The sequence below is a fragment of the Homo sapiens genome, chromosome 11 (genome assembly GCF_000001405.40).
Source record: "Homo sapiens chromosome 11, GRCh38.p14 Primary Assembly".
Taxonomy (NCBI): Eukaryota; Metazoa; Chordata; class Mammalia; order Primates; family Hominidae; genus Homo; species Homo sapiens.
The window spans coordinates 69,434,258-69,461,159 of record NC_000011.10 but is presented as its reverse complement, the minus strand read 5'-3'; the positions used below and the strand labels follow the sequence as shown (position 1 = coordinate 69,461,159).

The following is a 26,902-nucleotide window of genomic DNA, read 5'->3' as shown; positions in this document are numbered from 1 at the left end:
CATGGGCCTGGATATATTGTTCTGGCCATTTTTGGAAAATACAATACAGGCTTCCCTCTGGACTCCATCATTTACATTCTTACTGCATGCAAAATAGACTTTTCCTTTTATCTACATTGCACTTCCCCAATCTCTCATCCCATCACAGCATCAGGCTCAAAGTCCAGGAAAGCATCCTCTCCATCAGCTCCAGGTGAATGATGGTCTTAAGTTGTGGTTTCTTGCCCATCTCACCCAAATACAGTGGTGAGCCAGGTAGAGGAGAGCCACCATAGACACTCCAATTCAGAATGTGTAAATATAATGAGCACACAGATGTAATTGGTCCATAGCAATTCTGAAATCCAGCTGGGCATGTGTTGCCAGTTCCCTGTTTGGGGCTCAGTCCTACTACCTGAGAGTGAGTCACTGTGGCTTTTGGCTCTGTCTTCCAGGCTCTTGCTCCACCCTCTGAATCAGCCTCCCTTTTCCCTAAAACATAGCCTGTGTTTGCAATTGAGTCATTTCTCAGCCTGCTTCCTGACGTAGAAGTTTTGGGGATCCAAAGATCTCTTTGTATTTTGTGCTGTCTGTGTCTCTTTTAGTCCAAGCTGATACACTTCTTTAAAAACACAACTTTGTGGTTTTTAAGGCATCAATTTATAATCCATTCTGCTAGACAAGAGCTTGAGCCACACATCTCTTCAAGATAAATTCTTCTCTACTTTGGGCTTCCTGTGAGAATGCTGTGGGAAATTGCTCTTAAGATTTATGAAGAGGCTTTTATTTCATGGAGAGGACCTGTGAGGCATGCACTTCAGGTCCTTAGAGGGACTTCTGTTGGCTAGACAGTACACTGTGGCACCAATTTAGGTCTTTCTGAGAGCTTAACAAAGGCTCTTATAATTTCAGTGTGAATATCTTTGCTGTGAAGCCTTTTCTTAATCTGAATTTTGAAGAAGTTAGGAATAAGAAACAGTTTGATTTTCAAACCCAGCAAGTCTTGGCTTCTTGACATTGAGTGTTCCTTCTTTGGCTTGTCTCTGTCCCTTACTTTCATCACAAGCAGCAAGATGTCAGCCAGCACTGCCAACCCTTTGCCTAGGGTGTTGGCTTCTGGTACAATAGATGGACTCCTCTATAGACCAGCTCTCCCACTGATAACAAGTGTGAACTTTGGACAAAACTTAAAAACTACCCAAGGATTCTGAAAAGTAAACAAAAGCAGGAAAGTTGTTGAAGGGAGTCAGAACTTGGTGTGCTGATGGTCTGGAAGTGAGTTCTTCATTGCTTACGACTTTGCCTCTGGAGTGGGATGCAGTCTCAGAGCAATGTGGCAAGGGACAAGGGGCAAAGATGCTAAGAGAAACCCCACCATCTTTCTGGCTGGAGGAACCAGGGAAATTAGCCCAGGCAGCCACAGCTGTCACTGGAGAGTGAAGGGGAGGGCTCAGAAGGGAGACAGATGAGGGGTCTCCTAATTCTGCATACGCCCACCACACACGTCTCAGGCTGGCCCAGAACCATGCATGTATAGGACAGTCTCAACAGCACTGCTGAAAAGGCTTAAATAATTGAACTAAAAATTCAACACCATACACAGATGGTAAGGCAGAGCTTACAGTGTAAGTCTAACCAGGTGAACCGCTGCTGAAACAAAATGGTCAAACACTCTCCAGTGAAAGAGTGCTTCCACTAAAAAGTGCCAAAGCCCACTGGCAACACAATATATATTTACAACGTCTAGGGTGTAGCTCAGAATTACTTGACATACAAAGAGCCAATAAAATGTGACCCATTAACAATAAATGCCAACCTCTAATGACCCATATGTTGGAATTATCAGACAAGGAGTTTACAAGAACTACTATAATTTTGCTCAATGAGGTGAAGAAAAATACACTGACAATGAATGAAAAAAATTATGTCTCAGCAGAAAAATAAGAAATATAAAAATAACCCAAAAGAAATAATTTTAACTGCAATATGAAATACTAAAAAAAAGAAATTCAAATATTCAAAAGAAGACAGGAAGGGGGAAATGGAAGAATAACAACTACAGGGGACAAATTGAAGAAAAATTATAACATGGTAGACCTAAACCCAACCATATCAATAATTACACTAAATACTAACAACATGAATATTTTAATTGAAAGGAAGTGGTTATCTGATTAAAAGACTCAACCAGATGCCAAAAGAGATGCACTTTAAATATAAAAATACAGGTTGAAAGTAACTGGATGGAAAAAGTTATACCATGTGGCTGGGCACAGTGGCTCATGCCTGTAATCTCAGCACTTTGGGAGGCCAAGGCAGGTGGATCATTTGAGGGCAGGAGTTTGAGACCAGCCTTGACAACATGGAGAAACCCCGTTTCTACTAAAAATATAAAAATTAGCCAGGCATAGTGGCACACATCTGTAATCCCAGCTACTTGGGAGGCTGAGGCGGGAGAATCACCTGAACCCAGGAGGCAGAGGTTGCACTGAGCCAAGATTGTGCCACTGCACTCCAGCCTGGGTGACAGAGCAAGACTCTGTCTCAAAAAAAAAAAAAAAAAAAAAGTTATGCCATGCAAGTAATAAGCATAATAAAGTCAAACTGGCTGTATTAATAATAGAGAAAATAAACTTTGAGATAAAGTGTAATCTTTGAGATAAAAAATCACATTTTATAATAATGAAAAAGACAATTCATCAGGAAGTCACAGCAATTTTAGTAGAACCTCACAAATGCATGAGCAAAGATGAAAAGTATTAAACGGAGAAACAAATAACTTTACAATCACAGTGGAGTATTCAACTCTCCCTCTCTCATCAATTGATAGAACAACTAGATTAAAAAGTCTGTAAATACATAAAGGATTTGAAAAATAATAATAACCATCTCAGCATATGACTTGATATTTATAGAAACTGCTTTTGGATATTATGAAATAAAGATTCTTTTGAAGTACACATGGTTCACCCATCAAGTTAGGTCGGATGCTGGTTTATAAAGCAAATATCAATAAATTTAAAAGTATTGAAATCCTGAATGATAACAAGAACATACCAAAGTATATAGGATGTAGCTAAAGTATTGCTTAAAGAGAAACATACCTTTAAATACTTATATTTGAAAATAAGAAAGATCTAAAATCAATGACCCAAGATCCCACCATCCAAAGCTAAAAAAGGAAGAGCAAAATAAGCCCAAGGTAAGCAAAGGAAAGGAAATAATAAAGGTAAGAGAAGACATCAATGAAATTCAAAGCAGAGAGACAATGGAGAAAATTGACAAAGCTAAAAGCTGGTTCTTTGAAAAGATCAACAAAATTGATCAAGAGAAAAAGAGAAGAAAAAAGAGAGAGAACACAAATCACAAATGGCAAGAATGAAAAGAGGGGCCATTATTACAGATCCTACAGATATTAAAAAGGAAAAGGCAATATAATGATATTATGAATGACATTATGTCAAAAAATGTGTGACAATGATAGAATAAAAAAATTCCTCAAAAAATTTAACTTACCAAAACAGACACAAGAAAAAACAGAAAATCCGAAGAGCTCTATATCTATTTTTAAAAATTGAATCCATTATCAAAAACCTTCTACATTAGTTTGTAACAAATTACCACCAACATGGTGGCTTAAAACAACACACATTTATTCTCTTACACTTCTGGGCATCAGAAGTTTAAAATCAAGGAGTTGGCAGGGCTACACATTCCTTCTGAAGACTTCAGGGAAAAATATCTTTTTCAGCTTTTAGAGGCCACCTACATTCCTTAGCCTGGGGCCCCTTCCTCCCACCACTCTGACTACCTGCTTCTGTCCTCATATCTCCTACTACTAACTGTATTCCCGCTGCCTTCCTCTTATGAAGGCCCTTTCGATTACATTATGCATACTTGGTTAATCCAGGATAATCTTCCCATCTCAAGATTCTTGGCTTAATCACATCTGCAAAGTCCTTTTTGCCATAGGAGGTCACATATACACAGACATGGGTACATTGGAGGATCATTAATCTGCTTACCACAGTGGCATAAATTAATCATTTTTTTTCTAATGTTCATTGATTCTGTGGGTTAGGAATTCTGACAGGGCACAGTGGGGGCTGCTCAGCCTTAGACCATGATATCTGGGACCTTGGCTGGGGGCTGACATCAGCTGATTTCAGCTGAGCGAGTGCACTCACTTATGCGTCTGGCAGTTGATGTGGGCTTTTGGCTGAGATTCAGCTGGGGCCATTGGCTGGAACGCCTGCACACAGCCTCCCCATGTGGCCTGGGCTTCCTTACAATATGGCAGCTGGGTGCCACAGGTGAAGCTTCTGACAGATAAAACCAGGAGGAAGCTGCATCACTGTTTGCGACCTAGCCTTGGAAGTTAGGCAGCATCTCATCTGCACATTGAATTTGTCAAGCTGTCACAAAATCCCACCCAGTGTCAAGGGAGGGGAAAATAGACTCTACCTCTTAATGAGGAGTGGAAGAGCACGTGGGAACAGAAATATAGCTGTGTTCATGTTTGGAAAATCCAATTTGCCAGAGCTGTTTAACGATTGAGATTGGGTATTTGAGTATTTCCTGTGTTCCAGGGATTGTATTAAGTGGGAAACCACCCCATGAGATAGGGCCATCCTGTAATGACCAGCATCAGGCATCTACCCAGCATCTGCTTCCCTCCTCTACTCTACTGTCCTGATTTGGGGTCATGCCATTGATATGAGATGCTGTGGCACGCAGCTATATTCTTAGTTGATGGCTGGACCTGAGTGTGATCCTGTCCCTTAGCCAGCACCTGGTGTAGGAATGCAGGCCTAAGTCAGTTCAATGACTGACCATGGATTGGTGCAGGCCAGTGGGATGCAAGAGACAGGATCCTAGAGGATCTTCCCTCTGGACATTGCCCTGCGCAGGTGTGAGCATGGTGAGCTGCAGCCACAGTGCAGCAGGGCAGAGGCAGGACGCTTCTGCTGCAGACGTAGTACTCTGAACCACACTGACCCTGATGCCTGTCTGGCCCCAGAGTGCCACTTACAGCAGTCAGCACGTTTCCTGATTGTTCAGGCTAGTTTGAAACAGGCTTGGTGTTACTTGGAGCTGCAGGGATAGTTATTGATATAGTCTTTCCTCACTTTGCAGCTGAAGAGATCAGACTCAAAGAGGTAAGCACACTGCTCTCAAGCTTCTGAGTGCATAAGAATCCCCTTCAGATCTTGCTGAAATGTGGATTCTGACTCAGCAGGTCTGGGGTAGGGCCTGGGGGCCTGCGTGTCTAGCAAGCTCCTGGTGATGTGGATGCTGCTAGCCCGGGGGCCTCGCCTTGATCAGTAAGAGGGTCAGGATGTGCCCAAGACCACCCCACCCCAAGTCACAGAATTAGGCTGTAATCAAAGGCCTGCCTGACTCCCAAGCCACAGCCTTGGAATGGCCCAGAGCTGACACGTCCTACTCTATCCACGTTAGAGAGGATGATCCAAGGACCAAGCCACACTCTGCTGGGTCTACTGGGAATGGGACCCAGGATACCTGCTTCCTATACCGGAGGAGCCCTGGCGACAACTTAAACCCACACGAGACTACTTGCCTCTCAAATTCCTCACACATTGATTCCTCGTGCACTGGGTCCAAGCTTGCTGGGAAGTCAGGCTGTGTCTCCTTCTGCCAGATTGTCAAGTAAGAAAAGCATTTCCCAGAATTCCTTTCTCATATAAATCACTGCGGGGAGGCCAGGCGCTGTGGCTCAGGCCTGTAATCCCAGCACTTTGGGAGGCCGAGGTGGGTGGATCACTTGAGGTCAGGAGTTCAAGACCAGCCTGGCCAACACGATGCAACCCTGTCTCTACTAAAAATACAAAAATTAGCCGGGCGTGGTGGGGCATGCTTGTAATCCCAGCTACTTGGGAGGCTGGGGTGAGAACTGCTTGAACCTGGGAGGTGGAGATTGCAGTGAGCCAAGATCACGCCACTGCACTCCAGCCTGGGTGACAGAGCAAGACTCTGTCTCAAAAAAAAAAAAAATCACTGTGGGAAGGGTGCTCTGTAAAAATGCACACGTGATGGGGTGAGAGAACCTCTATCTATCACAAGCATCTTGGGAGACTCTTATGATCAGACAAGTTTGGGGAACTCCAAGCTTTGGGGATGTAGAGACATCACTTATTCTGGCCTAGGATGGTTCTGTGTCATAGTCTGGATGGTGGGTGGTACTATTGTTCCCATATTACAGAATAGGAAACTGAGTCACAGAGTGCTTCCCCCCCCCACCCCCATACATGCTGGCTTCCAAGGCTGGTAAGGGGGCTGGAACTGGAACGCAGGTCTTGGGACTGACCTGGCTTCATTGCAAGTCTGCCAGAGAAACGCAAAAGGACAAGCAGCATTCCCAAGCATCTGGCATGGTCATCGGTGCAAACACCCCGTTCATGTAACACGGGCCTGAGGTCAGCAGTAGAGGACCAGTATTGGTTTTGGCCCCAGCCTCTGCGTGGATGGATTGAACGCCTGCATCCCTGCTTTTCTCTCAACTCTGCTGTCTCAAAGGAGAGGTGGGGGTGGGCCTGAGGGATTCTCTCCCTGCATGGAACCTACGGGCTTGATCATCGAGGATATGGGGCTAGATATGTCCCGAACCTCAGCTCGTCCTTTCTTCCCCGGGAATGGTCACGGGGAGTCCTGCGTGCATGTCTGGCTTTGTTAATAATAAAGAATAAATAATAAGATGGTGAGACTCATCAGCTCACGAGGTCTGTGTAGGCTGGCTTCCTCGCCCGAGAAGATACATGGATGGGTCTGTCTTGTCCCCCCGCACTGCTAGGGGAGGAACCTCAGGACCACCTGCCACCTCTCCAATGTGCAGGAATGGCAGCATTATTTGCATATAAGTAATGTCCCTGGGGCAGAGGTGGCTCTCGCTGCTGCGGATTAGCCCTTGCTTCATCCTGGTTGCAGAGACCTTTGTCCCTGGTAGGACTGAGTTGTCTGAGAGAGGTGTGTGCACATATGTGAAAGTGTATGTGTGCATGTGCCTGTGTGCATTCATGTGTGTGCATGTGTGTGCTTGTGCATTGTGTGTGTGTGTGTGTGTGTGTGTACATCCGAAGGCGTAGCTTCTGAAACGTTGTTGGGAAAGTCAGGAAGGAGAGCTGAGAAGGTCCCCACATCTGGTTAGGAGATTCCAGGGAGAGGACATTTGTGCCTCAAGTGGGTGGCTGCACTAGAGGTCCTCCTGGGTCATATGAAACTTAGACTCTAATTCTGTGACTGTGGGTAACACAGGAGGGCTCTTGGGTGCAGACACAGCTTGGGAGGCCTTGTGTTGGTTACTTGTATGTGTCAACTTTCTTAGTCCTCGGTACCCAGTGTTTGGTCAAACATTATTCTACAAGCTGCTGTGAAGGTATTTTTCAGATGAGATTGACATGTGAATCAGTCGATTTTGAGTGAAGTAGATGACCCTCCATAGCGTAAGTGGGCCTCATCTAAACAGCCGAAGGCCTTAAGAGAAATAGACTGAGGTCCCTCAGCTAGGAAAGAATTCTGCCAAAGATGGCCTTCAGCCTCAAGCTGTGGCATCAGCTCTTCCCTGGGCCTTCCCTGGCTATCTTGAATCTCTCTCTCTCTGTGCGCACGCACGCGCACACACACACACACACACACACACACACACGCACACGCACCCTCTGGGTTCTGTTTCTCTGGAGAACCCTGACTAATATGCAGTTCCCTGCAGGGTCTCCCGGGGCAGCCAACCCCACTGGCATTGCTGAGGTCACTCTCCCGTGGACCCAGTCAAGGGCTGACTGTGGAGCTGGCTCCTGGGTCCCAGGCTGAGAGGGACAGAGTACCCTGTGGGCACATGGACCAGAGCGGGGGATACAAACCTGGCCCAAGGCCAACCAAAGAGGCATTCTTGCTGAGTCTAGTGGCAAGTGAAGTCTAGGGGCAGAGAGGAAGGCTGAAACCACATAAATGCAAAGGGATTTGGTCCATGGATTCCCAGCAGGCATCCCTGCCTCTGGCCTTACCTGTGGAGCCTTCGGTCAGGGCAGCTGCTGGTGAGAAGGAACCACCCCCTCCACCCCGCCCCACAAATCAAGGCCTCTGTGACTTTGGAATGGCTTTACCCTGGTTTATTGAGAGGAATTTTAATGTGTGCCTCTGTTTTTTTACTTATGGCTGTGTCACATGGGGCCACATCTGGATGCAGGGAGCAGGAAGCCATGCCACAGTGGTGACAACACAGTAGCTGTTGTCTACCCACAGCTGGCAGTTCAGGGCTGGTGTGGCAGCTCCACCATGCCATCACTGGCCCAGGTTCCTTCTACCTCTCCACTCTACCATCCTTGGCATGTGACTTTAGTCCTCATGGTTGCAAAATGGCTGCTGTGCTCCAGGCATTGCTTCAGCTTTCATTGCAGGAAGGAAAACGTGGAAGGAATAAGGAGCAGCACTAGATGAGGGCTGTCAACCCTTTCCCTGTAAGCCCCACGACTTCTGTATTCTACTGGCCAAAGCTGAGCCTGATGGCCAACCCTTACTGCAAGGGAGGTTAGGAAATAGAATGTTCTAGCTGGTCACAATGCCACCCTGAACAGTGGCTGTGTTCTGTTGGTAGAGAAAGGAACCTTGGGAAGGCAATTAGTAATGTCTGCCTCAGTTTCTCATGTAGATTTTACTAGGTAAGAAGGAGTGATACTGACCACGATGCAGAAAATATCTTCAAAACCTCCTTTTAAATGGTTCCCTTTCCCTGGAAGCTGCTCCCTCCCACACTCTCCCTCACTGCTCCCCAGAGCCGCAGCCTCCACTTCCTGCCTTGGTTCCCTGCTTCTTCCTTCTTCTTTCCTTTCCCACCTCTGCATCGTCCTCTTGAGTCCAGAGACTCTGGACCCAAACTGACCTGTTCCAGTCCTGGTTCTGCATCCACTGGTCACACGAAGGCTTCACTGGCCCTCACTGGCCTCATCTGGACAATGATCCTCAGAGGAGGAAATGAGACCCCGTGTGTGAGGGTTCAGGGTCTGGTACATGGGGAGTACGCCACACATGCGGTGGTTGTAACTATTGTCATGGTTGGGGTCATTGCAAGGGGACAGGCTGGCTGGGATGGGGCTTGCAGACGTGGCTGGTCAGCACTTTGTTGGGCAGACCTGTGGTGGGCAGAGATGGGGCCTGGGAGGCTGCACTATGGTTGGGGGAGACCATCTGGGTGGTGGAGGCAGAGAGCAGGTGTGTGGACTTCCTCCCAGGGCCACCAGAGGGTTATTATCTGTAAAGCTGCCCCCCATCTTGTATGCCTGGGAAATAGGCTCTCCATACTCCTGGCTGAGCTGCCACAGTCAAGAAGGTTATAGAACTGACTTTTATTTAACGTGTTTCTTTCTTTCTTCTAAAAAAAAAAGATAAGAAGTGTCCTACAAAACCAACTTAATCTCTCCTTCCTTCTTTCCTTCCATTCAACCTCCCTCCCTTTTTCCCTTCCATCTTCCCTCTTTTCTTCCTTTCATCCATCCATCATCCATCCATCAATCCCTCCTTCTAATCATCCATCCATTCATCTTTCTCTTCTTCCCTCCTTCTATCTATCCATCCATCACTATCCATCTGTCTCTCCATCCATCCATCCATCCACCCATTTCTTCTTCCTTCCATCCATTCATCCATTCATCTGTGCATCCATCCATCCATGCATCCATCCATCCATCCATTGCTCCTTTCATCCTTCCATCTATCTGCCCATCCATCACCATCCATCCATCTTTTCTTCCATCCATCCAACCACCCATTTCTTCTTCCTTCCATCCACTCATCCATCCATTCATCCATCCATCCATGCATCCATGCATCCATCCATGCATCCATGCATCCATGCATCCATGCATCCATCCATCCATCCATCCATTGCTCCTTCCATCCTTCCATCTGCCCTTTTCTTCCCTCCTTTTTTCATTTGGTTCCTGACAACCCAGCTCTTTGCTGGGCTGTGAGCACTGCAACCCTGGGCTGTATGCAGCCAGCCTTTGGTTGAGAACACAAGCACCCTGCTCCATAGCAGAAACGCCCTTGGTGTTACGTGAAGGCTCCGTACCCTGTCATGAGCTGGGCCTGGCCTGGCAGCTGTTCTTTGGAGAGTAGGCCCCACCTATTCCGTTGCTGGCATCAGGAGGATCTCCCGGAGCCGGTGTCCTATTCCCCCAGAAGCAAGGTTGTGTGCATGGCCCCACCTGGCTGTGTTTGGAAGGCTGATGGAGGCCTCCCAGGGACACTTTCCCCCAAAATAATCCACAGTGACACTAGTTCCATACCAACCACTACCTCATTTCCTGACAAATTGTCCAGCCCCAAACAAAACTCGTCTTATCTAGTTCCATCTCGGAGCAGCCTGTCAACTCCAGGCATCAGCAGATCTTTCAGGAAATCACCTATTGTGGCTAAAATTCGCACTCCAAGGCGTGTGCGGAGCCGCAGGAAGCAACAGCCAGGATGCCTGGAGACTCGGTACACAAAGCAGGCCTTTGCCCTGCCGGGCTGAGGAGGCTCAACCCACAGGCACCGGCGAGGGGTTTCTTTCCAGGAGGAAGTTGCAAATGAGTAGCTTTTCCATCTTGAGTTTTCATCTCAAGCCCTGACTTCCACAGCAATCCTGTTGGGGCCCAAGGGGAAGTCCACCATCTGACTCCCAGCATGCCAGGAGGCCCACAGGGCTGGGGGAGCCCCCAGCACTAATTTGCCTTGATGGCATCCCAACCATTCCAGCGGAGGCTGACCCTGGAAGCCCCAAGGCTTGAAATCGCCTGCAGGGCTAGCCGGCCCCTCGGTCTGGGGAGCTAAGGAGAGGTGGGGCAGGCCACTGTGGACCACCCGTCCTGGTCCTCACCACAGAACCAGGCCCCTCGGAAGCTCCTCTGAGAGCAGAGATGGGGTGGGGACTTGCCACTTTCCACGGACAAGAGGTGGATGGGCCAGCTGCCAGCATCCCAGTGTCCTCACCTGCCCATCCAACCACAGCAGGACTAAGTGTGTCCGCCCTGAATCTTGGAGAGAAAGAAAATAAATAAATAAATAAGACAAAAAAAGGATCCCATCAGATGCCAAAAATGAAGATAACATGGGAGGAAGTTTATTTTGATGAGGAAATCCCTAAATGCTGTTGAAACTATGCTTGGAATGGCTAATTAGTGCTTGGGGGGCTTTGAAGGAAGCGCTATCTCACAGGGCGGCCACCCCCGCCAGGTTTCCCTGGCGCTTGTCGCTTATCTGCAGGAAACGGCTCGAGCTTCTGAATCCGCAGCAGCGCCCAGGGCTGGCCCATGACTCATGCCCGGGCAGCTGGACGAGCCTCCGTGGTGGGGACAGAGCAGCAGCTCAGGGGACAGCCATCCCCAGGCAGTGGACCCGGCCCGGTGGCTGGCTTGGGCAGACACAGCCTCCCAGGGCAGCAGGAAGAGAAGGTTCTGGTAGGTTCGCCTCAGCGCCCCCTGGGATGCACACCTGCTGCACCCAACACACCCGCTGGATCTGCTGTGACCCAGGCTCTAAACATGCAGGATTTATTCAGTGAAGGGGACAGGAGCCTCGAGGAAGTGAAAGCCAGATGGTGCCCCCAGGGCCCCGGTGACACTTGGCTGAGGCCTGAGCATAAGCGCGTGGCTGCTCGGAGCTTCCAGATGCTCCGTCCGCCTTGGAAACAGACGTTTTCCTGCAGGGCCCGTGGCAGAGCCCTGGACACAGGAAGAAAGGGCTATTTTTAGAGGCAAGGCTTCAGATGTAGGGCTCAGCTGACCCCATCCCATCCTGCCCTCTGACTCCCACAGGAAGAGTCATCGGAAACGCCTGACTTGGAGGCGTGCAGAATTCTGCCTAATTCCGCCTCCATTAGCATGCAGGGTTGGGGGTAGTTGGGCCGGGGTTGGGGGGATGCAGAAACTCATCCAACCCTGAACCGAGCCAGCCTGGAGCAGAGACCACACGATCCAATATGGTAATAACCTGGGATCGGCCATGCATTTGCCCAGACTTCAGCACACTGCCTTCGCTGCCACCCGTGGATACACAGCATGGTCCATTGTATTGGGAGCTTTGTGCTGGGCCAGGAGTATCACGTGACAGGCCCTGTCCTTTCCAAGAGCCACAAAGTTGAGTTTGGGCTAGCGAGAGTCCACTTCTCAATGTCTATAGTGACACGGGGCTCAGAGGTGTGGCCCAAGCCTCTCAGAGCCCAACAAATGGGTAACAGAGCTTGCCCAGCCCTTGTCCTCCCGGGCTCCGCTGCAGTCCCCATGCTGCCTGGTCCCCTAGGGGCCCAACAGAACCTTCTGGAAAGGTGTGGCCGGCATTGGCCCCCACACCTGAGTGCATTCTGGCTGCTGTATAACGCTGCATTTTTGGCTGCAATCCTTCCAAAAAAGACGCAGACCCACATTCTCCCTACTCTCTAGCCTCCCACACGTTCCACATCTTCAGTCTACTCCCACACCTGGGAAGTCAGGGGCAAAAGACATGGGCTGAGATGGGGGTGAAAACCACAAGGGTTGGGGGAAGATAAGGAAGAACTTTCTTCACTTCCCCACCTTCTGGTTCTAAGTTTAGAATTTTCACTTTTCACTCACAATGATTGTCCTTTTGCTAATGGAAGATCCTCTGTGGATCCAGCAGAAGTCCTGCCTCCCCCACCCAAATTTCCTCTGTAAAAGAGAAATCTCTTCACACCCATGGAGGGGCCTTGCTTTTATCATGTTCTTCCATTTTGAACTACGAGCTGCTTTTTTCATGATTCTATCTCTTGGGGCACTGAGGAGCTGTTTGGCCATTTCCGCAGGGCACAGAGAACACAGGACGGTTTTGCAAAACTGCAGATGATGCTCTGTGGGAGGCTAAGGAGGGGGAGCCTCTCTAGACCTAAGCTGGGGTGCCTTCTGTTTTTAAAAATAATAGAGATGGTGGGGGTCTCATTATGTTGCCCAGGCTGGTCTTAAACTCCTGGTCTCAAGTGATCCTCCTGCCTCCGAAAGTGCTGGGATTACAGGCATGAGCCACCGCATTCAGCCATCAGCTGAGGTGCCTTCTGTTGCCTGAGTGTTGCTGTGCCCCAGATGGCCAGGTGAGCTGCAAGGAGGCTTTGCACTGTCATGTGAGCCTTTGCACACCTGAGCAGGCTCCGTGCAGCCACAGTGCTTGTCAGGCACGGCTGGCATGGCTGGCATGGCTGGGCCTGGAGTTTGTTTATATTTCCTCCTTAACAGCTGACTCAGAGGTAGCTTGTGGCTCCCTGGCCTCAGCGATATAAATTCATTCAATTGGCAACCATGCACAGAGGTCCTACTACCCACCAGGCTCTCATCCAGGTGCAGGGGTGATGCAGAGAACAAAATAGGCGAAAGCTCCTGTCCTGACGCAGCTCAGCTTCTGGAGAGTGGAAACCTCATAGTCAAAATGAATAAAACTCCAAAGTCATTTAGAAGGAGATCACAGCTGTGGAGACAATCCCAGGCAGTGGGGACACAGGGAGGCCCCAGAGCTGAGGGAAGGGATTGCTGTTTTAGAGAGAGTGGTTGGGGAAGGCCTTGAAAGTTGATTGAGATTTGAAGGAGGTGAGGCAGAGGGGCACATGGACACCTCAGGGAAGCCACAGACCCTGCAAAGGCCCTGAGGCTGTGAAATATCCAAGCAATTCCAAGAACAGCAAGGAGGACAGGACTCCAAGGCCACTGGAACTCCCTCGTCGACCCCCTTCTGATGGTCTGACGGGGCCTGGACAAGTAGCTGGATGAGCTGTACCATCAGCCCATTTTCTCCTGCCCACTTTATCCCTCATCATTAACCAACTTCCCTTCTCTCCTCCCCTCCCGGGAGTTCCACCCAGCCCCAACCAGAACCAAGCCTGGGTCCAGCTTTGGAAACTCATGCCTGGCTGGCAGGAGCAGCAGCTGTGCCCACACACCATTCCCAGAGTAACAGTTGAATGTGGAGCTTCAGGCCAGGCGGCGTGGCTCACGCCTGTAATCCCAACACTTTGGGAGGCCGAGGTGGTTGGATCACCTAAGGTCAGGAGTTCGAGACCAGCCTGGCTAACATGGTGAAACCCTGTCTTTACTAAAAATACAAAAATTAGCTGAGCGTGGTGGTGCACACCTGTAATCCCAGCTACTAGGGAGGCTGAGACAGGAGAATTGTTGAATCTGTGAGGTGGAGGTGCAGTAAGCCAAGATCACGCCACTGCACTCTAGCCTGGGTGACAGAGAGAGACTCCATCTCAGAAAAAAAAAAAAGAATGTGGAGGTTCAAAACTTGGGATATTTGGGAGACTCCCCAAAGGCTGAGTCATGCTCTGGCCTGAATGTCATCCTGTCCTTGCTCCGTGGAAGAGCAGTGGAAATAAATTCATTGTCCCCCATTAGGAAAAGCAGAGGCCATGATAGTGGTGCTGTTCTCAGGCCCAGAAAAACCTGAGGAACATGCTCCACACCTTTTTGCAGGTGGGGATCTACAGGCCAGAGAAGGGAGGAGGCCTGCCGGGGGGACACGAAGTTAGTTGGTGGCAAAGGAGGGGCCCAGAAACCAGGTCTTCTAGCTTGGATGGTTGAAGACTAAAGACTGTTTACGAAAATTTCCAGATCTCTGCTTTCTGAGCAAATAGAATTGTTCTTCTCATCCCCGTTGAAATCAGGTGTGGTGGCATGACTTGATTGACCAGTGAAATGTGAGTGGAAGAGGTCTCAGTCACTTGTGAGCAGAAGTTTTAAGAACCAGCTCGTGCATCTGGCCTCCATGATGATGGAGGTCTGGGTGGGACTCGATCCTCCATCAGCCTGGGTCCCTGGAGCACGTCTGGAGCGGGCCCTCACTCCTTGCATGTGTGGCACAAGAAGAAGACAAACGTTGGTTATCTGAAGCTGGCGGTCAGCAGACGCCAGCCTGTGGGCAATTTCTCAATATCATTTTATAGGAATGCAGCCCACTCATTGGTGTGCTGTCTGCCACGCTTTTGTGTTACAATAGCAGAGTTGAGGAGTTGCGACAGAGACTGAATGGCCTGCAAAGCCTAAAATATATATTAAAAGTAGCCGGGCACGGTGGCTCACAACTGTAATGTCAGCACTTTGGGAGGCTGAGGCGGGTGGATCACTTGAGGTCAGGAGTTGGAGACCAGCCTGGCCAACGTGGCAAAACCCTGTCTCTACTAAAAATACAAAAATTAGCTGGATATGGCGGTGGGCACCTGTAATCCCAGCTACTCGGGAGGCTGAGGCAGGAGAATTGCTTGAACCTGGGAGGTGGATGTTGCAGTGAACCGAGATCGCGCCACTGCACTCCAGCCTGGGCAACAGAGTGAGACTGTGTCTCCAAAAACAATAGCAACAACAAAAGTACACGTCACTCTTTACAGAAACCATTTGCTGATCCTGCTGGCAGCCATTGAGATCTGGGGGCCTGTTTGTTGCCATAGCATGGCCTAGCGCATTCTGACCGATACACTTTCTAATCATGCCGAGAACTTCTGAGTGCCGTCTCATGAGCAAAACGTGCGCTATATTAGTACTGTAGCAAAGCGCTTCTGGCCTGTCTCCACGGGCTGAGTGCAGAGCCTCCATTACAGTCATCATTTTATGTCAGGAAGGGAAGGTCCAAGGAGGTGGCCGGTCTGAAGTGACCTCGGGCTTCTCCAGGCCTCTGCCACCCACGCTAAAATGAGAAGCCCCTGAGAATTTTTAAGTTTTGTCTGCATTGTGGAAGCCAGGACGCAGAGGCAGAAGGAGACCCATGGGCCTTTCTATCCCAACACCAACCGTTTAAAACAACAGAAGAAAAGGGAAGCCGGTCCAGCCCAGAGCAGAAATGAGGAGTGGTAGGATCCGGCTGCCCCAGGCCGCCCAGCTCCTCTGTCTGCTTCCTCTATTTGTGCCGGGCAGCCCCCAACTCCCTGGCTTATGTGGCCTGTGGAGGGACCAGCTGTGGCGGGCAACAATTTTGTCCAACCCCAGGCCTTGGTGTCCGCGTCCCTCTGTGTGCACCCTCTTCCTGCGTGGGTGCTGCAGAGCCAACGTGAGGGGCCCACAGGCAGGGGCACCCTTCTCTGCCCCCCACCAAACAGAGGCTGCTGGGGTGGAACCCGAGGTCCTGCGGGAGGGGTGCTGGCCGCTGGGAAAAGCCCGTGTCCGGGCCCCGCCCTCCGTCTCCCCCGCAGCCCTGGCTTACTGGGCTCTCCTCTCCCGGATCTCATACCTCACATTCCCCAGCACGGTTCCGACAGGCCCATGAGTGGGGAGTCCTCATGGCCTGGGAAGGTGGCCGAGAAAGTTTGAACAGCTGCAGAGCCTGCCCGTCCACTCTCTCCAGCCACATTTGTGTGTGTGTGTGTGTGTGTGTGTGTGTGTTGTGTTTTGACCAACCTCTTAGGCTTATGTAACACACTTGGAAGTCAAGAAGTAAGGACTCATTACTGACAGCCTCAGAGAGGCTTGCGAAACACTTGCTGTGAAGAAATCTTTCCATTGAGAAAAAGTTCCCTGGTGCTCATGCTCCCAGTGGCTCAGGTATGTGGCTGGGGGTGACGGTGGTGTGAGAAGCAGGGGTCCCCAGGGCTCCAGAGCCCAGCGCCCCCTGCCGGAGCTGTGTCGCGCCCGGAAATGGAATTGAGCATCGCTTTTGTCCTCTATGTCACTGCTCACGTCACCACCAACAACCGACGTCGGTGACTAAACTCTCGCCGCGTATCAGGCACTATGCTGGGCCCCTGCGTTTGTGATTTTCCTGGGCGCGTGCATGACCAAGGGCTAGGTGCTCCTACGCCCATTTTATAGAGGAGGACACAGGCAAGGCGGTGGGGTCGGGGCCCTTGTCAGCAGGCTGCCACCCCACACCTCCCTGAGGTACATGCAAAAGCAGACCCCTCCCCTCCCCACAGGTATAGCTCTATGTGGGCCCTTTGCATGAGTGTATTTTTAAGCTACTTGCTAGATCCCAAGAGGAAATGAGTGCTCATCCTGCAGGGAGAGGCCAGCATTCCACTGGGCCATTTCCCTTTTCAGAGAGCTGATGTGGAGGATTCTGCGCCGTTCTTGGCCATGCCGTCATCTGGGGCCCCAGGAACCTTACAGACCCGAGGGCCAGGGTTTGGGGCCCAGAGCCCAGCAGATAGCCATCTTAGAAGCATTCTCCCCAGGACCAGGGCTGCTAAACCCAACCCCACATCTCCCACACAAATGCGTCTTTCACTGGGGCTCTGGAAACCGGAGACCATGTAAATCCAAGAAGATGAAATTGTGTGGGTCTGGGCCGCAGCTACAGACTGAGACTCAGCAGCCGAGGGGCCCCAGCCTCAGAGGGAACTCAATGAATTTGTCAGGGAACTGAAAACAGATGATTTCAATCAGCAGGGGAAAAAAATGACTTCATGGCCACAGTTGACCGAAGCAAGCGGCGTTCGGCTGCCAGGCCCTGCCTGGGAGGCGCTTCCAGAAAGCCTGGCCTCTTCCGCAGCCTCTGGCCGGGGTCTTCCCTGCGAGGAGCCAGCGCCGCTCGAGCCGCAGCATGGCCCGGCAGAAGGCACGGCGGCCGTGATGGGGCTGGCGGGGCGCGGTGATAACCCGGGCTCCCCGCCCCCGCGCTTCCTCTCCGCTGCGCTTTCATGAATGGCCCCGCTTCCCAAACAGCCGATTGGCTGAACCCCCGGCCGCGACGCCCAATCAGCGGCTGTGGCCGCCTGGTCTCCGCTCCGCGTGGGGCCTCGGTCCTGCAGCCATGAATGGCGCAGCCTCAGCTGCCTGCAGCCACCGCCTACCTTGCGGGGGCCGCCTCCCCCCGAGGGAGGAGGAGCAGGGGATTTTTTCTTTCCCCCAGACTGTTCAGGGTTCTGGTGCAATTGTGTCAATCTGAGGCTTGGCTGGAGCTCCTGACAATAGCCCTTGGGCTTCCAAGGTTGACATTCAAGGTCTTGTGACAGTGAAAGGGCTTGCATAGTTAGAAATGAATTTCTTTGCCTATAGCCCGGGCTGATTCCAGTTCCAGGGAAAGAACGGCAGCCTTTCCGTGTAAGCAGGCAGCCCTGCTGGGGACAAAGACAGGGCCGTGGGAGGAGGTGGGGCCCCTTCCTGGCCAGTGCTGGGGGGGGCGGACACGTGCAAACTGCTGGGAACTTCGCCTGCAAACCAGAGGGCTTTGGCCACCCCTCTTGGTCACTGGCCTTGTCCTAGCTTCATATGCCACGTGCATGAAGCGGCTGGGGCCCCTGTCGGGGAACCCAGCCATTCCGCTGCATTTCCTGTTAAGTAGGAAAACATGTTCTGTTTGCTGATGTTATAAAGAAGGCATGTGTTTACAAATGCTCATTGGGGAGAGCGTGGTTAATGGGCCAGCTTCCGGCCTCACCTCCCCAGATGAAGTGATTGTGTGGCTGACAGAATGGGCCTGCTCTTCAGGGGAAGACCCCCTACTCGGGAAAATTAGACTCAGCAGAAGCCAGAATTCAAAGCTGTCTAGAAAGTGCTTTTGCAAGGTGGGTTGAGGCCAGGATGAGGAAGGCCTCGAATGCCAAAGTGAGGAGGTGTCCCAAGCCCTGGGGAGTCATGGAAGGCTGGTGAGATGCAGAGTGAGATTCCGGAGTGTTTCAGAAGCTTGACTCTTCCCCGGCAGGGACTTCTCTGCCAACACACCTACCCTGAGCATGGCTGGGGTGACCTTTTATGGAACTTCCAAATTAGAACTGTGCAAACAGCTTCCTGTGACCCCTTGATGAGCCCCATTTTAAAGATGAGAAAACTGAGGTTCAGAGTAATCTGCAAAGGGTCCCACAATTTGGGAGTGGCGAGACCAGGACTGGACCCTATCTCTGCCTGATGCCATAGGGGAAAGGCACACCCAGGTGCTGCACGCCCACAGGGACTGGTGTGAGGAGGCTTCAGCAAAAAAATGCGGGCAGATCACTAAACACTGGGGCAGGCACTGACTCATTGCTGCAGTGGTTAGGATCAGAACTGGTGAGAAATGTACCTGCTCCCAAATTTCTATGAGCCAGACTCTGGTCTCCCAGGTAGATTCGTGAGGCCATGAGTATGCAGCAGGGGGCGGCCTGACAAATTCATGTAGATTTCCAGTTGTAGCATCTATTTTTTTTTTCTTTTTTTTTGAGATGGAGTTTCGCTCTTGTTACCCAGGCTGGAGTGCAGTGGTGTGATCTCAGCTCACCGCAACCTCCGCCTCCCAGGCTCAAGTGATTCTCCTGCCTCAGCCTCCCAAGTAGCTGGGATTGCAGGCTTGCGCCATCACATCTGGCTAATTTCGTATTTTTAGTAGAGACGGGGTTTCTCCATGTTGGTCAGGCTGGTCTCAAACTCCTAACCTCAGGTGATCCGCCTGCCTTGAGATGGAGTCTCACTCTGTCGCCCAGGCTGGAGTGCAGTGGTGTGATCTCCATTCACTGCAACCTCCACCTCCTGGGTTCAAGCGATTCTTCTACCTCAGCCTCCTGAGTATCTGGGATTACAGGCATGCGCCACCACACCCAGCTAATTTTTGTATTTTTAGTAGAGACGGGGTTTCAACATGTTGGCCAGGCTGGTCTCAAACTCCTGACCTCAGTTGATCCACCCACCTCGGCCTCCTGGAGTTCTGGGATTACAGGCATGAGCCACCTTGCCTGGCCTGTAGCATCTATTTCTGCCAGCCTAATGCCCAGTATCTGTTTTTAACCTTCTAGTTCAGCAGTTTGTAAAATTTCTGGTCTTGGGACCCATTTGCCTCTTAAAAGTTATCGAGGACCCCAGAGAGATTTTGTTGATATGGGTTTTATCTACTGATATTTACTGAGTTAGAAATGAAAACATAGAAATTTGTAAAATGCATGATTCTGCAAGCATACATTCTGTTAGCTCTCAGAGTGACAGTGTCATCATGGGTCCTATGGCCTCTGGGAAACTCCACTGCACAGTCATGAGAGAATGAAGAGAGAATGAAAGGAAAAAAGACAATTCATGCCTCAGTGTCTTCATGAAATTAACTGCAACCTCTCAGACCTCCTGAAACCACACTTTGAGAACTGCTCTACAGAGAGCAGATTGAGCTGGGCGGCGGGTGCCTGGCGAAAGCTTCATTTCCCAGCCTTCTTGTGGCTAGGTCCGGCCATGCCATACCCTGGCTGAATGGACTGTGAGCCATCCTCCATGGTGCTGGGCAACATGATAGATCTGTGAGTGAAGGAGTCATTGCAGTGGCCACATCCTGCCTCTGACCAATGAGCTTTTCCCTTCTTCTCCGCCTTCCACAGGCTGGGGTATAAATGAGGCATGGGTCAATTTGGCCCTCGTAGACAGGGCAACCCTCAGGTGTGACAGAGCCTGGGTGACCAGTATCATGCTGCCATATTTGTTTTTTGTTTTTTGTTTGTTTGGTTTTTGTTGTTGTTGTTTTGGAGATGGAGTTTCGCTCTTGTTGCCCAGGCTAGAGTGCAATGGCGCGAACTCGGCTCACTGCAACCTCCGCCTCCCAGGTTCAAGCGATTCTCCTGCCTCAGCCTCCCAAGTAGCTGGGATTACAGGTGCCTGCCCCCACGCTCGGCTAATTTTTTGTATTTTTAGTAGAGATAAGGTTTCGCCATGTTGGCAGGCTGGCCTGGAACTCCTGACCTCAGGTAATTCACCTGCCTCAGCCGCCCAAAGTGCCGGGATTACAGGCGTGAGCCACCATGCCCAGCCCATGCTGCCATATTTGTCCTGGATTGACTATGTGGGCTCCTGTGGGAAAAAGAAATCAACAGCCAGGCTTCTGCTACTGTATTTTGCAGTCTTTGCTATAATAGCCTAACCAGAATCCTGATCAGTACATCATTCTTACACACCTGGCTTCCTGCTCTTATTATGCTTGCAAGAAGTTGGATGAACCATCCAGATAAGCCCTTGGGAGGAGCTGAGTCTTCAGATGGAAGCATGAGGTGGTGAAGCACCCCTGACAGATCATTCCTTTAACATGCGTTTATTGAGATATTCTTGCCATGAGTCCAACAGAGTCCAGGAGAGGAACATGAGGTCACAGCTGATGGGAGGAGGGGACGCTGGGATGGAGCTTGCCAGAGTGTCGGGGGCTGCCATACAAATCACCACACCCTGGGTGGTTTCCTACAGAAAGAGGCAGAAACGTACTCTTGCACAGTTCTGGAGGCTAGGAATGGAGATCCAGGTGTCAGCGGGGTTGGCGCCTCTGAGGGCTGTAAGGCAAAGAACCCATCCCTGGTTCCTCTCCTGGCTCTTCTGGTAGCTTCAGCCGCCCTTGGCGTTCCCTGGTTTGTGGCCTCATCGCTTCACCCTCTGCCTCCATCATCATGTGGCCTTGCTCTTCATGGGCCTCTCTGAGGAAAGCAAGAGGTGGGAGCAGTGGGCCTGGGCCGGGGTCAACAGCCAAGGTGTGGCCAAGGTCCACCCAAGGTCATTGGCTCCTTGCTCGGCCTCAAAGCCAGCTTGACGCAGCAGACCCTCTCCCCGGTCTCTCTTTGTCCTTTCTTCTTCTTATAAGGACACTTGTTATTGGATTTAGGGCCCACCCTAGTCCAGGATGATCTCATCTCAAGATCTTTTGCCTTCCCTGCATGCACAACGATTCCTTTTGCAAATAAGGTCACACTCACGGGTTTCCCTGGCCGTACTCTTTGGTGTTGCGGGGGCGAATGGGTGCAGCATTCAGCCACTCCAGGGCTCTAAGTAGGAGGGACAGGCAGAAGCCACCACCAGGACAACTGGAAGACTTCCTGGAGGAGGGGGTGCTAATTTGGGTCTTAAGGGGAGTCATTGCTGCGAGAAAGGGGAGTCCACGTGGGAAGCTCAGATGCAGGGAGGTGCAGGACCTTGGCAGGGTGTGGGGCCTCCAGGGGAAAGATGACAAGTGTGCTGGAGGCCTTGGGGGTGGAGGGCTGAGTGCCTCAGGATGAGGCTGGGAGGGCCAGGTGTGGGAGGTCTCAGGGCTTTGTTCTGCAGACAGCAGGAGCCAGCAGGGGCTCTAGGGCTGGGAGTGAGAGAGTTCCCTGCAGGACAAAGGTGGGCTAATGGATTCCCACTAGGTTCAGGGATGCAGAGGTGGTCCTGGGAGGGGGTGTAAATATGTGTCTTGCAAGGGGTGGAGGGGGAGATGGAGCCTTGGGGTGGTCCCTGGGAGGACCCTGGGGGCGTGTGGGGACGTCTGTACAGAGTGCAGCAGGAAATCAGGCTGGTCTGTCTTGCTGTGTTTCCAAAGAAAAGAGGCAAACCCAAGGGGTAAGGGGCTTCCTTAGACGCAGGGCCCAGTGCACCCGGGCGCTGGCGGTGGGTCTGGGGGCTGACTGTGTCTGTACTCTCTCCTTTGTCTGCAGGCCTGGTCTGCACTCAGCGGCTGCCAGGACCTCCCGGGAGCGCCCACACACCCCACAGCCCGCCTGTCCTGGGAATACCTCTCCAGGCCCTGAATACCTGTCCCCCACTCCCTGCCTAGGACAACGGGGGCTGTCAGGGCCATGGGCAGGCCCACCCCACCAACCAGACCCTACGTGGGCCCCGCCTTGGTCCCGGAGCCAATGTCTGGCTGATCAGGGAACAAGAGGAGCCTTCAACACCTCAATTCTGGGACGGTTGAGGTTTTCACACCGGGCCACACCTGAGCCACTAGGAGCCGGGAGGCTCTGATCGTCTCTCCGCCTGTCTCTCTCTGGCATCGCCAGGGCTGACTTCATTCCACGTCCGCGCGGAAACAGCAGGGCTATCTCAGTGCAATCCTGGTTTTGTATTCAGAGCCTCCTCTGAGTGAGTGCCAGGGCGCACCGTGCAAGGAGCCTGGCTTTGCCCACTGCAATCCCGTGCCCTCACCCTAGTCTTTTAACCTCTCACGACTCAGGTTCCTCATCTGTGAAATGGAGCTGTCTTCTTTGTGGGGTTAGTGGAAGCAATAAGCGAGAAGTGTGTCCACACAGGCCCAGCCTTTCTGGGGCCTCACTGTGACCAGACACTGCGCTTTGGACTAGGGGATGGGATGCGACTTAGGGGAGCTGCGGCCACCTGTCTCTGGAGGCTGAAGTCTCCCTGCGGACCACCCTTCCTCAGGACCACCCTTCCTCACTTGCACGTCTCCCCTGCAGTCAGGACTCGCCTGCCCCCACGCCAGGCTCTCCCTAGTGGATCAGGCTGTACAACCTGGTTTGTATGAGGAAAGGCAGCCGCTGGGGCCCCAGTGCAGCAAGAGAGGGGAGGAGGAGGTGTTCAGAGGGAAGACCCCTCCCCACCCCCGTTGGCCCCTTGTCTTCAAAGGAAGGGCGTGACCTTTCTGCCCCCCAGACCCACCCTGAGGGTCACTGTGGCGGTGAAGCCTGGTGCCGGCACTTGTGCCCGCCCTCTGACTTGCAGTGTCCCGAGACATATTCAGGGGAGCCAGGTATTCAATCAGCAAGGCTCCCAACAAGATGGGGTGGGTGGGAGAAGCACCCACAATTCTCTAGAAGGCTTTCAGGGCATTCTTCACTAAAGAGACACATTGGAGTCTGGAACCCCTCCCCTAGCAGGGGGACACCTCCAAGCTGTGCTCAAAACTGGGACAGGATATTTGGGTTGGAGTGTTCTCCGTCTCTGCCTCTCTGTCTCTCTCTCTCCCTTTCTCTCTGTCTCTCTCTCTCTCTCCCTCTCTCCCTGTCTCTCTCTCTCTCTCTCTCTCTCACTCTCTCTTGCTCTCTCTTTCCTCCTGTCTCTCTAAAGGTCTCCTTTCCTCTAAGGGCAAAGCAGCAGCTGTCAGGTCCTTAGAGCAGGATCCCTGGTTGGTGCAGGCCCAGGGCCAGCCCCTGGTCCCGGCCTTTCTTCCCCTGGGGGATGAACAGTGAATGCAGCCGCCCTGGGAGTTGGGCGACCTGCGGGGCTTGGAGGGAAGGGCAGGAGGGCCCAGGGCTGACACAGCACGCCTGGCTGGGGTGGGGGCAGTGGTGTGGGTGGCTGACCACATTCCTGGGATGCCGGGCTGCAGGGCTGGGCGGCTGTGTCTACACCTGTCTGCCCCTGTCGGCTGTGAGCAATGCAGCCAGGGACAGGGCAGCTAGAGCCATGCTGTGGTCTGGCCAGTGGGCCAGGCACGTGAGCTGGTTCATGCCCTGCTGCACCAACAACGTTCACCTGGAGAGGTCAGTGGCCTCATTGAGGGGAAGAAGGGCTCTGTCCCTAGAGTCTAGCAAGCCTGGGCCATGGTCTGTGGGGCTTGTCAGGGTGACTTCACCTCTGTGAGCCTCAGTTTCCCTCCCTGGAAAGTGGAGCATAACATGGGTGGGGTCCCCGGTGCTGGCCTGCAGAGCCCTGGGAGACGTGTGGAGTACAAGCCCCATACGCTAGGCCAAAAGATCCGCAGACCAGGCAGCTTAACTGATAGAAATGAAAGTCCAAGATCAAGGTGTCAGCAGGGCAGGCTCCTTCTGAGGCTGCGGGGAAGGAACTGGCCCAGGTTTCTCTCCTTGGCTTGCAGGTGGCCCATGCCTCTCCACATCAGCTTCCCTCCCATGCGGCCTCTGTGCCTGAACTTCCTCTTTTAGTAGGACTGCGGTCATATTGGATTAGGGCCCACCCTAATGGCCTCCTCAGAACTTGGTGACCACTGTAAAGGCCCTATCTCCAAATCAGGAAATGTTCCGGGGTCCTGGGGGTTAAGACTTCAACACAAACATCTTGTTGGAGGGGGGTTGCAATTCAGTCCACACCCGCTTCCCTCGTCTCACTTCGTCCAGCACTCAGCACCCTCTGGCCCTGCCCTTAGCTGTGGGTCTGGATTTCCCATCTCTTCCACGGTAAGCCCTGTGAGGGCGGCGTCTTTATCCCATTTGCTGTTACACCTGCAATTCCTGGGGTGCCGGCTTGTTCTCATCATTTAGCAGACCATTGCTGAATGGCTAACAAATCCAGGATACAATTTGTAGGTGCACCAAGCCAGGCAAGGTATCTGCGTCACCTGCCCGTCAGTGGCCCCAGGCTGGGAAGACCCCTTGGGTCATGCTTGGACACTCTGCACCATGGGCAGCCAGAACTCCTGGCCGAGTGGTCAGCGGCCGCCACACCTTGCTGGAGCAGAGGCACCCCTGCCATCCCACAGGCAAGACGGACCTAGCTCGGTTTCCCAACACTCTGTTGAGATGGGGCTGCCCAGAAGCCCACACAAGCCCACACCTGGGGGAATCCCAGCCCCACGTTCTGGTTCAAGTCGCTGCTGGTTTGGGTTCAGAGCCCAAACATGAGCTCCTGCTCTTCTTGGTGTGATCTGAGGCTGTGGATATCCTGAGAACATCTGTCTCAACAGAACACCTTCCTCCATGTTGCCTATATCCCAAATTCACTCCCAAGTGGCTTTTGTCTGGCAGATTCCGGTGGATTATGCAAAGAGGGACTGCCAGAGAATCTGAGCTGTTGGAAGACTTCTGAAACGTCACTGCGGTGGCGGAGGCACTGCCCCGGGGGGACAAAAGTCTTGTCTCTTCCTCCAAATGTGGAGGATCAAATTAGAGTTGACTTGTGTGTTTCCAAACCCGTTGTCGTCCCAGCATTCAACTAATTTGAAGATACCAAAAGCCTCAGAAGAGGGTGGCAGAAGAAGAAAGGGACAAACACAAAAGGGGAAGGACAAGAGGGCAGACCGTTAAAAAAAAAAAAAACCTACAAGAATGCAGTTTGCTCCTGGGTGGACCCTCCCACCCCGTGCCTGCCCCGAGCTGGCCCCTGACCTGTGCCGGCAGCTCAAATTCCTAACATCTGGCCCAGGGTAAGGATATGGGCAACTCTTTAAGGAAGCGTGTCCTCGCTAGGTGCTGATCACTCACTCCAAGGGACTTTGCTCCTGGATGCCCAGGCTCAGAGAGGGCTGTGAGCCTCCCATGGTCACACAGCAGCAGTCCAAGTGCCTGGGGCAGTCCGATGCCCACATCCCCCTTGAGGTCCCAGGTGAGGGCATGGTCACAGGATGCAGACCCCTGCCTGGGTAGGTCTCTGGTCTTCTATGGCACCTACTTGTAAGCCTCCCCAGCAAGTTCAATGTGGGGCTCCCAGCACCGGTCCTTGGGATTTGGGGGTTCCTTGGTTTCTTCTCTTTTCTCTCTACCCTTCTTCTCCCTGGGTGACCTCATCTGTTCCCCTGGATGAGGTGTGGTCCCCTCCTCAGTTCAATGCTGGGAGCCCTGCACTGAACCTGGAGGGAACCAGCAGGCTCTAGGTCCCGACTTTTGGAGTAGGGCCTGCCCCTTCCTTCCTGCCCCTTTCTCTAGGGAGTGCTGTGAAGGGTGCATTTGGGCCCTGGGGGCCCATGAGTTTGGGCCTCCAGGATAGCTGAGAGCACGTGGGCCTGGCCTGCCCACTCTTCCTGAAGCCCCCCAGCTTCGCCCCACTCCTGGGCCCTGACCAGCCTCCTGCCTTTGCCTTTGTCTGGCCTTGGGTTTCCCAGGCAGTGGCAGCTTTGCTCTTTTTCTCGCAGGTCTCAGGTGTCACCTCTTGAAAATTCAAAGGAGGATCCTTCGAATTCATGAACCAGCAACCTCCCAGGAGGTGGGTCTTCCCACCCTGCACCATCCGGCCTTAGGAATTCAGTCTGGAGCCCTCCCTCCCCAGGGCCTGGGGCCTGGAAGTCGGAGCCAGCCAGAGCAGGGAAGGGTCGGGCCCTGGAAATCCAGAGTGGCCTGCCTGGGCCGGGGTGGGGCTGGGCATGGGGAGGCGTGGGTCCTGTCGGGGTTGGGACCAGCGCTCCAGCTTCCCTAGCTGATTTGAGCATTTAATTTTAATTCCACAAATAGAGAAAAAGAAAGAAAACTCCTGAAAGTCGCGGCAGATCCTCACGGCTCTGCAGATGTCCTGCGGAGGTTGAGCCTCTGCACTTTGGCCTCAGCTGCCCAGGTACCAGTCTCAGCTACTGTCACTGGCGGTGTGGCCTGGGCAGCCATGTCCCCTCCCCAGGCCTCAGTCTC

At 52.2% G+C, this 26,902-nt stretch overlaps 2 long non-coding RNA genes across 2 annotated transcripts, besides 8 other annotated features; one reads left to right on the top strand and one right to left on the bottom strand.

Annotated features, from left to right (window-relative positions):
- Positions 5,158 to 5,902: an enhancer, noted in NCBI's record as "H3K27ac-H3K4me1 hESC enhancer chr11:69270026-69270770 (GRCh37/hg19 assembly coordinates)". NCBI's record gives its function as "activates a minimal SCP1, AML or CMV promoter by ChIP-STARR-seq in primed H9 embryonic stem cells {active_cell/tissue: H9 hESC(primed)}" and the evidence as "EXISTENCE:reporter gene assay evidence [ECO:0000049][PMID:30033119]".
- Positions 11,074 to 16,337, bottom strand: LOC124902703 (uncharacterized). The gene is made up of 2 exons (XR_007062759.1): positions 16,198 to 16,337; positions 11,074 to 14,821 (listed from the first exon to the last, which is right to left on the bottom strand). It is a non-coding gene; the product is annotated as an uncharacterized LOC124902703 (long non-coding RNA).
- Positions 11,165 to 11,309: an enhancer, noted in NCBI's record as "145 bp enhancer 291 fragment used in the MPRA reporter construct; PK_construct_4303". NCBI's record gives its function as "activates an SV40 promoter by MPRA in K562 cells {active_cell/tissue: K562}" and the evidence as "EXISTENCE:reporter gene assay evidence [ECO:0000049][PMID:23512712]".
- Positions 11,228 to 11,245: a transcriptional cis regulatory region, noted in NCBI's record as "GATA motif; enhancer activity is reduced when this motif is scrambled". NCBI's record gives its function as "necessary for full MPRA enhancer 291 activity {active_cell/tissue: K562}" and the evidence as "EXISTENCE:site-directed mutagenesis evidence [ECO:0005528][PMID:23512712]".
- LINC02952 (long intergenic non-protein coding RNA 2952) lies at positions 16,194 to 25,603 on the top strand. Its single transcript, NR_186235.1, has 2 exons — positions 16,194 to 16,508; positions 22,307 to 25,603. It is a non-coding gene; the product is annotated as a long intergenic non-protein coding RNA 2952 (long non-coding RNA).
- Positions 17,501 to 17,590: a silencer, noted in NCBI's record as "silent region_3693". NCBI's record gives its function as "represses an Ori minimal core promoter by ATAC-STARR-seq in GM12878 lymphoblastoid cells {active_cell/tissue: GM12878}" and the evidence as "EXISTENCE:reporter gene assay evidence [ECO:0000049][PMID:35858748]".
- Positions 19,849 to 20,038: an enhancer, noted in NCBI's record as "active region_5159". NCBI's record gives its function as "activates an Ori minimal core promoter by ATAC-STARR-seq in GM12878 lymphoblastoid cells {active_cell/tissue: GM12878}" and the evidence as "EXISTENCE:reporter gene assay evidence [ECO:0000049][PMID:35858748]".
- Positions 21,612 to 22,443: an enhancer, noted in NCBI's record as "H3K27ac-H3K4me1 hESC enhancer chr11:69253485-69254316 (GRCh37/hg19 assembly coordinates)". NCBI's record gives its function as "activates a minimal SCP1, AML or CMV promoter by ChIP-STARR-seq in naive H9 embryonic stem cells {active_cell/tissue: H9 hESC(naive)}" and the evidence as "EXISTENCE:reporter gene assay evidence [ECO:0000049][PMID:30033119]".
- Positions 23,274 to 24,105: an enhancer, noted in NCBI's record as "H3K27ac-H3K4me1 hESC enhancer chr11:69251823-69252654 (GRCh37/hg19 assembly coordinates)". NCBI's record gives its function as "activates a minimal SCP1, AML or CMV promoter by ChIP-STARR-seq in naive and primed H9 embryonic stem cells {active_cell/tissue: H9 hESC(naive and primed)}" and the evidence as "EXISTENCE:reporter gene assay evidence [ECO:0000049][PMID:30033119]".
- Positions 25,768 to 26,597: an enhancer, noted in NCBI's record as "H3K27ac-H3K4me1 hESC enhancer chr11:69249331-69250160 (GRCh37/hg19 assembly coordinates)". NCBI's record gives its function as "activates a minimal SCP1, AML or CMV promoter by ChIP-STARR-seq in naive H9 embryonic stem cells {active_cell/tissue: H9 hESC(naive)}" and the evidence as "EXISTENCE:reporter gene assay evidence [ECO:0000049][PMID:30033119]".